Source organism: Homo sapiens, chromosome 1 (genome assembly GCF_000001405.40).
Source record: "Homo sapiens chromosome 1, GRCh38.p14 Primary Assembly".
NCBI lineage: Eukaryota > Metazoa > Chordata > Mammalia > Primates > Hominidae > Homo > Homo sapiens.
The window spans coordinates 173,038,880-173,054,204 of record NC_000001.11 but is presented as its reverse complement, the minus strand read 5'-3'; the positions used below and the strand labels follow the sequence as shown (position 1 = coordinate 173,054,204).

General features: G+C 36.7%; 1 protein-coding gene across 1 annotated transcript; it reads left to right on the top strand.

Annotated features, from left to right (window-relative positions):
* Positions 1-3,263: 3,263 nt before the first annotated feature.
* TNFSF18 (TNF superfamily member 18) lies at positions 3,264-15,003 on the top strand. Its single transcript, NM_005092.4, has 3 exons — positions 3,264-3,464; positions 10,236-10,266; positions 12,492-15,003. The coding sequence occupies exons 1-3, from the start codon at positions 3,309-3,311 to the stop codon at positions 12,836-12,838; spliced, it is 534 nt and encodes a 177-aa protein (NP_005083.3). The 5' UTR covers positions 3,264-3,308; the 3' UTR covers positions 12,839-15,003.
* Positions 15,004-15,325: the final 322 nt, after the last annotated feature.

Genomic DNA, 15,325 nt, shown 5'->3' with positions numbered 1-15,325 from the left:
ACATACTTCAGCATAAAGAGGTAGAAAAAATATGAGTTTTGGGGCCCAACATAGGAGGATTCAATCCCTATTCTGCCTTTATGGGCAAATGATTAATCTTCCTGAATGTCAGTTCATCATTCTAACAGATACAGAGAATACAGGGCTGTTTGATGTTCAGATGTAATCATTTGTACGCAGAGAAGAAGCAGTAAGTGCCTAATGCATTTTAAGGTAATTTAGTCAGTAAGTGAACTGAAACCATGTTGTTCTATAATTAATTCTGAATTCAAAGCAGCCATGGATGCAGTTCAAATTGCTTAATCAAACATATCTTAGAACCTTTTTTTCAATATTAAAAATACAGAATAGAGGTTTTCTTTGACCTTTTTTCCTGAAATTTCTTACTTTGCAGCTCTTGAATGAAAAATACCAGCTTCATTTAAAAATTTAGGATTTTGTCATTGTTTATATTGAGTTCTTATTTTAATTTCTAATATTTACAGATGCTTATACCTCTGAATATTTATTTCTAAAGTTTTATCATACCCTCAAGAAAGAGTACCCTCCTCTCTCTTCTTAAACAGTTTATTTCTAACCCGCTATTTCAACGGTTTCAGTTTATCAAGGTCTGTTTTCTCAGGCACTTTCTTATGTATAGTATCAATTTGGGCGTCTGTCTCCCTGCGGATAAGGTTTCAATTTGGTTAGATGGCAAATTCATTGGCAGCTGTTACTTTTTTTTTTTTTTTTTTTGAGACGGAGTCTCACTCTGTCGCCGGACTGGAGTGCAGTGGCGCAATCTCGGCTCACTGCAACCTCCACCTCCTGGGTTCAAGCGATTCCCTTGCATCAGCCTCCCGAGTAGCTGGGACCGTAGGCGCGCGCCACCACGCCTGGCTAATTTTTTGTATTTTAGTAGAGACGGGGTTTCACCATGTTGGCCAGGGCAGCTCTTACTTTTTAAAATATCCCCCAAATCTCCTAGCACAGTAGTGGGCAGATAGTAAATGTTTGACATGGATTTGCTTGTCAGATTTAATTGAAAAACAAACAAACAAAAAAAACCCAGAAACTTCATGCTCAAGTATCTGAGCCAGGGACGGACCATAAACCCGAAGCTTGAATTGGTGCTCATTTACCTCTTGTCAAATCCTGAGATATAACATGTAATCCTGATAACTTACACCAAAATCGTGCCAACTGTGACTCATTGCTCTAGAATTTCAGAAAGTCTTGCCTACTGTTACCTGTCTTAACTTGAAGTTTCCTCATTTCTAAATCCTATTTCATGAAAAGAGGCCCTAGAATATAGTCTTCTTGAAATAAGTATGTCATCTTTCTTAAGATACTGTCATAAGGTTAAATAATTAATAAGGATATTCCAGGGCCTAACAGTGGTTAAAGGCGGAAGGAGGAACTGGATTTTATTTAAAACAGTTTCTCATGTGAATAAATGTTTACCTAAGGTAGCAAGCCAGGGAAATTCCCTCAAAAATTTGGAAAGCAGACAGGAAAAGGGGCAGATCATAAAAACAGGAAGGACATAATTTAACTTCCAATTTTAAGTTCTGTGCTTGTGTATATGAATTCCAGATCTGATGCAAGTGCAAAGGTTATGGGATCAAGGCATCAGTCTTTTTCTAGAGTAAGTTTATTCTTTATCCCTGCATTGCAGCATCTAAGTACAGAGCCACAAAAACATTTGTTGTGTTGAAAAATCATTTTTGTGTAACTGGTCTTTTAAGAAGTAGTTTATTGAACAAGGTAAAATAGGGCCCAAATTAAAATTTTGACAGTTCAGAGAGAAATATTGCTAATAATATTGTAAATAGTGCAATATTAAGACAAAATGGTTGGATTACAAAGCAGTATCTGTGGGCTTGAGTTTTCACTCCATCATTAACCAGCCAGCAGTGATTTGAGACACTACTCACACCCTCTTGTCCTTAGTTTCCTTTTTTTGTAAAGGAGGATGTTAAATCTCTGGACTTTTTTCTAATTTATAAATCGTCAATTCTCTCTTAGATTAAAAAATAGGTTTTCCAAAATACTTTCATTGTACTTCCTTTTGTTTAAGTAAACTTTAGGTGAATTTTATCTTGTGGGAAAGATAAAGAATGTTCATTCTTTTCTAGGATTTAATAATTGAATTAAACTTCACTACATCGCTAAAGAGGGTAGAGAAGAGATAATCTAACATTTATGGAATGCATAAACTTTTCACCTTCATTTCATTCTCCACAAAAGCATTATAAAGTGAAAATTTTCTCCATTTTACAGTGAAGGAAACTGAAGCTCAGAGAACTCAAGTAACATGCCTAAGGCCACAGAGCAGGTAGGAACTGGGCAGTGCCAGCCTCTGCTCTTGAGGTCTGTCTGATTTAAAAGCCTGTGTGACTGAGGTCCATAGAACCAGGAGACTTCCTCAATTTTGTAGTAAACCCATATTTTTGGGCCCAGGAAGAAAACCCAAGGTTTTTTTTTTTTTTTTTTTGGAATAGAGTATAAGCTCTGGCTGAGGGCAGGATGCAGGAAAATATCCTTCTGTAAAATAACTTCTTATGCCAGAACTAGATTATCAGAGTTTAAAAATGATGAAATATAAAATTGAGCTTGTTGTATTTACAATTTTTTATTAAATTCTTGTAATACACTTGATATTTTCTAGAGACTCAGAATGAACGCATTCTATACACTAGAAATTGATGAAACATTTTTGTGAGTATAGATTTTATTTTTCCAGGTTTACTGAAGTATAATTGACAAATAAAAATTGTGGGTATTTAAGGTAAACAAGATGATGACTTGATTAAAACTCTATTTTTTCCAAACTAGAGATCCTAGCCTCTCCAACTTCCTAACACTCTGCCGCTCATGTACATGATATCTGGAGTATGGTAGGGGGATTAATCTCAAACTTTATTTTTTCTTATAAAAAGTGATTTTCTTATCTAGAAATAATCTGGAATACTTTCTTAGATGAGAGCACACCACTTTATTCTCCCAAGCCTCCTCTACACGTGCACTGTACTGCCGTTTGATTTAGGAAAGAAATTTTTTTCCCCTCTGAACTTCCCTTGTGCTTTTTTTTTTATGTTCTGAGTTTGTGTTGGCTTTCAGCCTTCCGTTCCTTTTGTTGTATTTGATCTGGTGCCAAATGAGAGTCAGCACTTAAGTTATAAGTATCATTTTCTAACACAGTGACAGAAGGAAAACTCCGCCTTCCACACCCACTACTAATTACCATATTGCTACAAAACATGACATTGCATCCTTCACCCATCACTTGTGAATTTTTGTTTTCCACAGCTCTCATTTCTCCAAAAATGTGTTTGAGCCACTTGGAAAATATGCCTTTAAGCCATTCAAGAACTCAAGGAGCTCAGAGATCATCCTGGAAGCTGTGGCTCTTTTGCTCAATAGTTATGTTGCTATTTCTTTGCTCCTTCAGTTGGCTAATCTTTATTTTTCTCCAATTAGAGGTAAGGAGGCAATTGTACCTAAGGTTACTATTTGCTATAATCCTCTATTTATTTGTTTTTCTAGTTGTTATCATTGTCACTCAGTATTGTTAGCAATAGTTGGAAGGAAGAGATGTGTATACATAATGTAAATACAATTCTAATATTGTCATGACATGGCGTTTGAAGTTTATCTAAAGGTTTTGAGATAAAAGGTATCAGAAAATGCTAAATGTTAGCTGCAGAACTCTGTTAGATAGAGAGAACTGGTTAAGCCAATTGACAGGGGCCTGTGGAGTATTTTTCCTTCCCTCTGCTATAGCTCTTGGTGGAATAAAAAAGGTAAAAATATGAATGAATATCAAGGAATGGGATGCAAGCTATAGTCTTATTTATGGAAAAGACTTAAAAAAATAGTGAAAGACAGGATTAAGTAAATGACAGGTGGTTTGTGTGTCTTTGAGGAGGGAAGTGGCCCTGAGCTAGGTGTAAGAAGATCTGGATTCTGGTTCTGGGTCTCCTAATAACCAGCTGTATAAATTTGATAAAGACATTTAATCTCTCTAGTTTGCAGCTTCTTTATCTAAAAAAACTGGTGGTAGGGGAATGGATTTATTATGATGTTTCTTCTAGCTATAAAATGTCATGATCAAGAATTTATTTAAGGGTAGTATGAAGAATAAATGCCTAAGTCACTCAAAAGCAGGGAACAATGACTTTAGATTGAGTTGATCAGGGAAGACTTCATGGAGGAATGAGAAAGCCCATATCTATTTGGGAAGCCCCTGATGCTTGTCAGGAATTTCCCATTGAGATGCAGGCCAAGCTGTGGGCCTAGAGAATGGGATGGTACACTGGGAATGGAGATTAGTTTTGTTCTTTACTAAAAAATCTTTCCTCACAGTTAACTACGTAGCACTGATCAAAAAGAAAATAAGAAATGCTTTATTTATTTCAGGATTTAGCCTATTTCTGGCTAAATTTGAAGACTCTAAGTTTTGGGGAGAATAAAGTGGCATATGTCCATCTGAGAAAGAGTTGAAATGTGACTGCAGAAACACTTTTCTTAAGGGAACTGACCAGCAAAGATTTCAAAGATATAGTTCTACCACTTAAGATAAGTAAAAGTAATTGAGAAAAGATGCAGGAGGAAGCAGTCCCCTATTGATATTAATTTAGAGTAGGTATAGCTTTGGCCAATTTTTCCACAGTAGCCCATTAATTTGTATTCCATAACTGTATACAAGGCTTATGTGCAACAGAGGCATTTCTAATTACAACCCTGCTCTCTCAAGAAATGTATGAAGCAGAAGTGTGAACTTTCTGGGTCAGTGAAGTTGAAAGAAAGAATTGTCAGAAATTCTTAGTGTCTAGATTTCTGAAGAAGAGGAAGGGTGAGAATAGCAATAACTTAAATTTGGAAGTGCTTCTTTCTTCTAAAAATTATAAGATTAATTAGCCAGATAACCCTGAAGAACACTGAATATAAGCATCATCAGTTCCTACATATGACTCAGGAATGAATACACAGAAGCCTTTCCCAAAGGCACCCAGCAGTTCTTGCAAAGGGAAAGAGAAAGTCTAATAATGCCAGATCATCTGGGACACCTCTCTTCAGAATCAAACTGGATTAATCCCATGTGTTTGAGCTCTGATTCTGGTTTCTCTCTCCTAGATCCAGTTTCTCAATGAAATGTTCTACCTCTAAAGATAACCCAGAGTTTGTTTCAAATTTGGGGAAGTATAAAATGTTTTTAGAATATTGTTCTGACAGGACACTTGCAGGATTTGTTTCTATGGGAAAAGCCAGTGGCCTGGCCAACCATACATGATATTAGCTTCTGCATTTCACTTTCCACTTACCTGTACTTCCCTTTCCCTATTGGCCACAAATAAATATCTCTGGAAAAGAAGTCTGAGAGGCTGGCAGATAGTGATTCATTATGATGTGGCCACTTCCACATTGTCACAATACCCATGAACCGTGAAGTTTTATTTTGGTCTCCACTCTAGTTTTTACATACAAAGTCCCACTTTCCAGATTGTCTAGACACTACTTTAAAAAGTGTACACTTAAAAGAAAGTGTAACACTTTAAAAAGTGTTAGATGGGAAGCTTGGCTCCTTGGGTCAATTTTTTTCTTTTTTTCTCTCTTCTTTGAGAAAATATTTAACTAAAAGGATAGCTGTGAGTCCAAGGAGTTTGGTCAATCCCTCAGTGAAAATAATCTCACAGGAATTATCACTAAGAAATCAAATGTTCAGCAGAGTCTGAACTTCAGCAAAATGAAGGATACTTTCAGAAGGGGAAGTTGTACTTATACTTAAAAGCAGAGCAGATTTTATTTTCACTGATGATTTGATTAGGGTTGGTTTGGAGAGAGAATGATTGTTTTGGCCATTTTGAGCCGAACTACGTAAATCTAGCCTTAAATCAAGAAGAGGTTACAAAAGCAACTGATCCTTCTAAGCAAAAATAACGAACCCATATGTGTCTTTAAAAGTGGGTATTTACTACTTCCAAACATCAGCAGAATTATAAATAGAAACTTACCCCACAGAGTGGTAGAGGTGAGAGTGTTGACCCAGACAGGCTGGGTGTAGATCTCATTCTTGCCTTTTATTGGCTGCATGACCTTAGGCTAGTTACTTAATCCCTCTCATCCTCATTTCCTCATCTGCAAAATGAGCAACCTAATTTTTGTAGAGTTGTGCTAAGGATTAATGAGACAGTAGAGTATCTGACATAAAGTAGCTCCCAGTAGAGGGGAGTGATTAATATTTGCCCCATTACTATTAATGAGATAATAATGGGCAAAAATTTAACAAGACCATTTAACAATATGGATAGTCTTTGCCTACCTATATCACTCTCTCAATCAAACACTATATCTCAGAGCCAAATTTATGATTTTGCAATTAGATGGATTTTTAGTGGTGGCAATAATTAGAGAGTATCACAGTGATGGTCTCTGTAGCGCTAAATAGACATAAAGCAGCCTGCAGTATATTATACGGAATTTCTGACTCTGGAAATTAGTTTGGACTTAGGTTGTCTATAGCTTAGGTTTCTCTGAGCACATCTCATACATGCTAGTAGATGGTGCAGATACTATCTGTGGCACGTATTTTGGCACTCATTCATATTTAGATTGTTACCAAATTGCTTTGGGTGTGTAATCATGTCTTTCTAGAAAGATTATAAACTTCTTGAGAAGCAAGGACCAAAAATTACATTTGTTTCTCATGCTTACAATGCTGTACAATGTTGGAAATATGGATGCTTAAATTGTAGTTCAATTCTTCATTACAATCACCATCATCACCCAAACAGCTAATATTTATTGAACAGGTCCAGGCAGGATATCTAGGCAAAGCCCTTATTAAAAACGACCTCATTTAACCCCAACAACTTCAACAAGCTAGGTGCTATTATTTCTCCCATTTTATAGATGAGGAAATTGGGGTTAAGGGAGTCTTTGTCACGTCCCTATCATGGGTTGAACTAAATTGAATTTCAACATCTCCTCCAGGAAACACCAAAATGAGGATGAAATAATTGCAAGAGGCCAGGCACAGTGGCTCACGCCTATAATCCCAGCACTTTGGGAGGCTGAGGCGGGTAGATTGCTTGAGGTCAAGAGTTTGAGACCAGCCTGGGCAACATGGCAAAACCCTGTCTCTACAAAAAAATACAAAAAAAATAGCTGGGCTTGGTGGCATGCACCTGTAGTCCCAGCTACTCAGGGGGCTGACGTGGGAGAATTGGTTGAGTCCAGGAGGATGAGGCTGTAGTGAACTGAGATAACACCACTGCACTCCAGCCTGGGCAACGGAATGAGACCCTGTCTCAAAAAACAACAACAACAACAACAACAACAAAAAAAAACAAGTGTAGGGAATCAAAAAATTTATTTCCTAGAATAGTGGCTTTCAGACTTTTTAATTGCACCTCCCTTTCAATAACATATTATCAGTATAATTCCCAACATTTGTATGCTAATTATTATACTATATACAAGTACTAATAATATGTACACTAAAGAGATACACAAAATATATATTTATAAGGGTGAGCCAAATAATATATTCAATGTAACTCTCACAATGCAAAACCATTTTGCTTTCACCAAAATGTTATATTTTCTATAATCATTAATATGTCATAAACATTACTAAAATAAGTAAAATATTTTAATAACGTGGTGAATGCATTTATTTTATTTTTTAATCTGAGCTTAACACTATGTGATACAGCAATTTGAAGTTTGATATGTTAATTTACCTTGTTTCATGATTTTGACCATCATGACTGAAAAATTACCCGACAAACAAATATAGATTAAAATGGAAGAACACATCTTTGGATATTCTTATCATGTCATACCACTTAATTTTCAATCCATCATTCAATGATGGATGCCTCTCTTTCCTTCCTTCCACAACTAAATTCCAAGATCTATAGCTTTAACACCTCCCTCGCATAAACTCACTCACTTGCTTCTCTCTATCTTCATTATACTCTAATGACAAAAGCTCGACTATGGAAAACCTCCAATGCTGATTAAATCCAACTGCTCTGTCTCTTTCACTGTTGAATATATCTGAAGAAAAACATAAAATTTTTTGAAAGGTCTTACTTTAAATTCACAGCCACTGCCTTCAAGTGGATTTCATTGTTGCTCTGGAAACAGCCCATGTTTCCCCAGTCCATTCACTCTCCTCTACTGGATGATTTCATACCTTTAGCTTCTCTTCAAACATCTAATAACTCTTCCCCATTCTCACTCTCCACTGATAACGTTGCCTCCATATTTTAAGAGAAAATAGAAGTACGGAGGAAAGAAGTTCCAATATCAACAACTCATTGGCATTTGTGTCCAGGTATACTGTTATTCTGTCTTGTCACTATGGATAAATTGTCCATGCATCTATCCAAGCCATCTATGAACTAAATCTTATCCTCTCTTGCCTACTCAGGGACATTGCTGCAACAGTTCTCTCCTCGCTCTTACATATTATGCCTCATCCATTTTACAGAAACATTTCCATCAAATGGAAATAGAAAAACGTGTTGTCATTTCTCTCACATTAAAACGTAACAACAACAACAACAACAACAACAACAAAAAACCTCTTTGATCTCTCATCCTCATCCAAACTCCACTCATTTTTTTCTGCTCTCCCTACAGCAAAATTCCTCCAACTTCTCTTGTCCCATTTACCCTTAAATTTATTTTAACTAAGCTTCTGCCCTCTTCACATATCACAGAAACTAATTTTGTCAAGAACTCCAGTGACTACCATGTTGCTCAATCTATCAGTCAATTCACTGTACTCTTCTTACTTGATCTATCAACAGCATTTGACACCAGCTGATCACTCGTCCTTCATGAAATACTTTCTTTTCTTGGCTTCCAAACATCAGACTCTCCTAGTTTCCTTTCAGACTCAGCTTTTCCTTTCTATTGTCCCTTGCTTGTTCTTTCTCATTCTCCGACCTCTAAACATCACAACGCCCCAGTGTTCCTCTCCATCTACACCCACTAACATGATGGCCTCATACAATCTCACAGCTTAAAACATCAACTATGAGCTTAAGACTCTTAAATGTATATCACCAGAGCTCCTTAAATTTCAGCCTGCTTGACACACTTACTTGGATTTATAATAAGCATCACAAACTAATATGTCCACAACCAAACTCATCATTGTTCCCCTCCCCATTTATTCCTCTTACATCTTATCCATTTTAGTGAATAACAACTTTATCTTTCCAATTATGCAGGCCTAAAATACTGGAGTCATCTTTGTTTCTTCTCATTCCCTACCCCATATCCATGTCAGGAACTTCTGTTGGCTCTATTTTCCAACCAAGTATCACCATCTACAGAGCTAGCACCTTGGTCAGAGACACCATGCTCTCTTGCCTAGATGAATGACTGTAATGATCTCTTAGCTAGTCTCACTACATTTGCCCTTGCCTCTGTTTAATTTGTTCCTAGCATAGCAGCCAGAGAAATCCTACAAAAGGAAAGTGTGCAACACGTTTAAGTTCAAAAAGTCTTTTAAGCACTTTGCCATTAGGAAACCAATAACCTTTGGGTGATACAAAAAATGTTTGTGGTTATGCCTGAATTTACTACAACGTATTTTTGAGCATTTAGCATTAACTACTTGTGTTTGTAAAATTAACCACACACTGATGGCATCTTGTAGCATGTGAACTGCCGTACATTGCAGTAGTCTGAAACTTGGAACTGTTTTTCAGGGTATCTCAGATACTGTATATGACATGTAGTTATCTGAATATTATACATGGGTGGTTTCATCAATCTGAGTTGTAAATATTTCTAGGGCTTAATTTACTGTTTTAAATAAAATAAACATAAATAGAAGCTTCACTATTTTCCTTTCACATGCCAACAGATCACCTTGTGCAGTCACTGGGGTGTGGAAACTGCTATTTTGTTGAAAAACTTTTAGAGCCCAAGGTTGGGGGGGGGGTCCGATATCAAATAGTTGTCCTGTAGGTATAGATTAGGTAATGGAATGAGATCTTGACCTTTGTCTAAAAGACCTAAAAGGGAAGCTAGGTAATAAAAGGTAAAGGATGGAGCCACTCAACTTTAAAGGGAGGCTGAGAGGGCTGAGACATGGTGAAGGGAAGGATTTTTTTTATGGTTATAGAACACTAGTTTGCTTCAGGAATTCAAAGCTCTAAATAAATCAATCAAAAAAATTAATGACACTGTCATCATCCTAATCAATTCATCTTTTATTTCCCCAACAGACTGCTAAGGAGCCCTGTATGGCTAAGTTTGGTGAGTAACCTATCTTGCATGTCTTTTACTTTTCTTAGTTTTTGATGCAAGAAGGCAGGTGTCAGTGATCTCAAGAAAACCTGTATTTTCTTTTATTCATTTCTGAGCTACTATGTATAATTACTTATCATGTACTGGGCAGTTGCCCAAGAGCTGAGGCTTTCAGAGGTAAACCAGGCAAAAGAAGCCCATGCCCTGATAAAGCTTATGTTGAAGGCTGCATCTCTGGCCAGGAATGAGCATCTCTCTTACTGGCCTATGAATCTGAGATCCGGGAATCTCCTTTTAATTCTGTGTTTTAATAAACACAACAAGTTTCAGATTTCTACAACCTTTCCTTAAAGTCTTTCTCATGTTTCACATATTGCTAATGTCCAATGGAGTATGTGAGAGAGTGCCATTGTTGTTTCTAAATGTATAGAAGAGCAATGAGAGTTGGAAAAGTGGCCACTTCCTCTACTATTTTCTCTTCTAAGCTTAGCTTCTGAGTCATTTTCCCTTGTGGTCACCTGATATTTGCTTAGAAAACACACCAGTTTACAGTTACACTGAGCCTTAGATTCTTAGAATACATGGAAAATTTCAGATAAATACATTTTTTTTAAAGTTGTTTATAGGTTTCAGGCCAAACATACATTTTCAGTTGAGAACAGACCATTTCTAGAGTTAACTCTGCAACCCCTGTGTTCCTATATAGTTTAAACCAGTAGGTTTCCTTGGCTTGTGGGAATTAGAAAATGTCCTTTTGCCTGTCTCTTTCTTTGTGTTTTGTTTTTGTTTTGCCCATAAGTGGAATGGAATGCATGGCATGTGTGAAATTATGCCTTGATGTGGTAAAAGTTGAGAAACTCAAGTGATGCTAAGGTGGTCTTTAAATGACCCCCTTTCACAGAATTAAATGGGAGAACCAATGACACTTCTTCCTGGTGACCTGCCTATTGCCTATTACATGTCAAGGAAGAAGAAATTTACTGGGCTCCGAGCTCATTGGCGATACTGGGTGGCTTTGTCTTTTGTTCTAGTGATCGCTCTTTCATTCTCCTCCAGAATCTACCTTCAGAGTCTTATATTAGTCATTCATATGAATGAGCATTGAAGTAAAAATGTTACCTCTTCCAGGGTGTTTCCTCATCAAGTTTTCTTTTTAATTATGGGACAAAGGACAAAAATTATGGAGAATTGCAGAACAGATAAGCATTCTGGGTGGTAAAAGCACCTCCCGGGGCTGTGAGATCACACTGCTGTGCAAAACCAAGTAATGTTAGGCAAACATCTAAGTTTCATATGTGCTAATGAAAATGAATGATTAGGTCTTTACCTTTTCTTTACCATTTGGGACAGTATTGCACTAGGGATCCTTATATTTAAATAGTCAAGTTATTTCTATTTATAAACTCATAAATTTACAATTAGCTATTTTTGGGGGATTTATTTAATGAATCCTAAGTAGGTCTTAAATGATATATACCTACAAACTGAGGAGAACAGCCATAATTTAGACACAAAGCACCTAATTCAGGAACATGGAAGTATCATTCAATCAATAAATATTTATGGAACATCTACCAGGTACCAGGGACTTTTTCAGGTGCTGAAAATACAAGAATGAACAAAATAGAGATATATTTGTCCTAAAAAATTTTACATTCAAAGTGATACAAGATGGACAATAAACAAATGAACAATTTAGTTTATAACATCCTAGACACTGACACACTTTATGAAGAAAACTCAAGCAAGGTAAAATGAGGGAATGATAGGAGAACACTTTTTAATATAGCATAATTAAGGAAAGCCACACTGATAAAGTGATAAACAGCCAGTGGTATTTACACCGAAAATGCCTGGAAAGGCATGGACTGCCAACCCTGGTTTTCAAAATTTTGGCTTGTGATTTCTTTCTCCATTAGTCTTTTCTTCTCCTTTCTTTTTCCCACAAATATTAATCAACAAGAGATGCGAAGTCACTTAAGTCATTTTTCTATTCCAAATTCTTTTCCTTAGAATTCTTGCTCCAAGCAAGAAATACTCTTTGGATTTGCAATTTCTCTAAAACAAGGAGTAGATAGGTACTTAAAATAGAAAAATTCTGCTTGAAGAGAACTAGTGTAGATCAGGTAAAGAAACAACATGTATGTGGTAAATAATTAACTACAATCTGGAAAAGGATGAAATAATGAAATAACTATGCTTTCATCTTTTTTATCCTTGTATATTTCTTATAGGACCATTACCCTCAAAATGGCAAATGGCATCTTCTGAACCTCCTTGCGTGAATAAGGTGTCTGACTGGAAGCTGGAGATACTTCAGAATGGCTTATATTTAATTTATGGCCAAGTGGCTCCCAATGCAAACTACAATGATGTAGCTCCTTTTGAGGTGCGGCTGTATAAAAACAAAGACATGATACAAACTCTAACAAACAAATCTAAAATCCAAAATGTAGGAGGGACTTATGAATTGCATGTTGGGGACACCATAGACTTGATATTCAACTCTGAGCATCAGGTTCTAAAAAATAATACATACTGGGGTATCATTTTACTAGCAAATCCCCAATTCATCTCCTAGAGACTTGATTTGATCTCCTCATTCCCTTCAGCACATGTAGAGGTGCCAGTGGGTGGATTGGAGGGAGAAGATATTCAATTTCTAGAGTTTGTCTGTCTACAAAAATCAACACAAACAGAACTCCTCTGCACGTGAATTTTCATCTATCATGCCTATCTGAAAGAGACTCAGGGGAAGAGCCAAAGACTTTTGGTTGGATCTGCAGAGATACTTCATTAATCCATGATAAAACAAATATGGATGACAGAGGACATGTGCTTTTCAAAGAATCTTTATCTAATTCTTGAATTCATGAGTGGAAAAATGGAGTTCTATTCCCATGGAAGATTTACCTGGTATGCAAAAAGGATCTGGGGCAGTAGCCTGGCTTTGTTCTCATATTCTTGGGCTGCTGTAATTCATTCTTCTCATACTCCCATCTTCTGAGACCCTCCCAATAAAAAGTAGACTGATAGGATGGCCACAGATATGCCTACCATACCCTACTTTAGATATGGTGGTGTTAGAAGATAAAGAACAATCTGAGAACTATTGGAATAGAGGTACAAGTGGCATAAAATGGAATGTACGCTATCTGGAAATTTCTCTTGGTTTTATCTTCCTCAGGATGCAGGGTGCTTTAAAAAGCCTTATCAAAGGAGTCATTCCGAACCCTCACGTAGAGCTTTGTGAGACCTTACTGTTGGTGTGTGTGTCTAAACATTGCTAATTGTAAAGAAAGAGTAACCATTAGTAATCATTAGGTTTAACCCCAGAATGGTATTATCATTACTGGATTATGTCATGTAATGATTTAGTATTTTTAGCTAGCTTTCCACAGTTTGCAAAGTGCTTTCGTAAAACAGTTAGCAATTCTATGAAGTTAATTGGGCAGGCATTTGGGGGAAAATTTTAGTGATGAGAATGTGATAGCATAGCATAGCCAACTTTCCTCAACTCATAGGACAAGTGACTACAAGAGGCAATGGGTAGTCCCCTGCATTGCACTGTCTCAGCTTTAGAATTGTTATTTCTGCTATCGTGTTATAAGACTCTAAAACTTAGCGAATTCACTTTTCAGGAAGCATATTCCCCTTTAGCCCAAGGTGAGCAGAGTGAAGCTACAACAGATCTTTCCTTTACCAGCACACTTTTTTTTTTTTTCCTGCCTGAATCAGGGAGATCCAGGATGCTGTTCAGGCCTTATCCCAACCAAATTCCCCTCTTCACTTTGCAGGGCCCATCTTAGTCAAATGTGCTAACTTCTAAAATAATAAATAGCACTAATTCAAAATTTTTGGACTCTTAAATTAGCTACTTGCAGGTTCTTGTTGAAAGGTATATAATATTACATTGTAAACAAATTTAAAATATTTATGGATATTTGTGAAAAGCTGCATTATGTTAAATAATATTACATGTAAAGCTATTTAAAAGAGGTTTTTTTTGTATTTTGTTTAACAAAAATTGCTCAGGAGCATGCTAAGCCTGAGGCCAAGTTGTTTCTTAGTATGACTTTTTAAAAAAACATCTGCTGAGTAGCTACAGGGCCAAAGACTTGGAGAGCTTGTTTCTGTTGCATTTGCATATCTTCTCAGGAAATTAAAGTGTGTCATACATATGTGTGTGTGTGTGTGTGTGTGTGTGTATATGTGTGTGTGTATATATATGTATACTTATAAAATCTTGGTGTTCTTGATCTTTGTTGTGTTATAAGCAATGTGTGCTGGAGTGGGCTGGTGCTAGCTTATAAGCACATATTATTAAATTTTCAGGAATGTTGCACTTTAGTTATTAACTATAGGCATTCTTGAAATTGGCTATGGTGGGAGTATTTATACCATGTAAATTGGCAAACACTACACATTTTCCTTTTGGACAGCTAGTTCACCAGCACACCACTGTGAAACTCTCCTTAATGACTCCTCTCTGCCCCCGCTTCATTCCTGGGATAATCATAGCAGACTAAGGGAGAAAATGAAATTGTAAAAATTTGGCATACTGGTGATTTCTCAGGGCAAGCAGAGGTTACTACAGCTGCAGCTAGAGGGATGACTACCAACAGGTGACCTTTACATTTTCCTGATGTTATAATTTTAGCTTTTGTTTTCAATGTATACTGTTTTCCTGTTTCTCCACATAGTAGTCTGCATTTTAAATCTATAATAAAACATGCTGATAACTGGGTTGCAGCTGATTTATCTGTGGGTCATCAGACTAGAGTTAGTAATCCAGGGAACACAAAGGTACATCATAGCAATCTTTGCCCATATGAAACACTGTTTGGCAAGTGTTAGGCAGAAGTGAGAGCTGGATGCAACTGACTTTTCATCATAGCTGTTCCCATTTCCGATGAGTTAGTCAACAGTTTCACTTTCTGACTTTTACCTACCTCCTTTTCTCCACCCTGCCCACATTCACCATCAAAGCCATTGTCAACCCTTCTCACACTGTTTTTGCCTTCCATTTTGCCCCATCAAACAAGAGCATGCTATATGACTATGGATT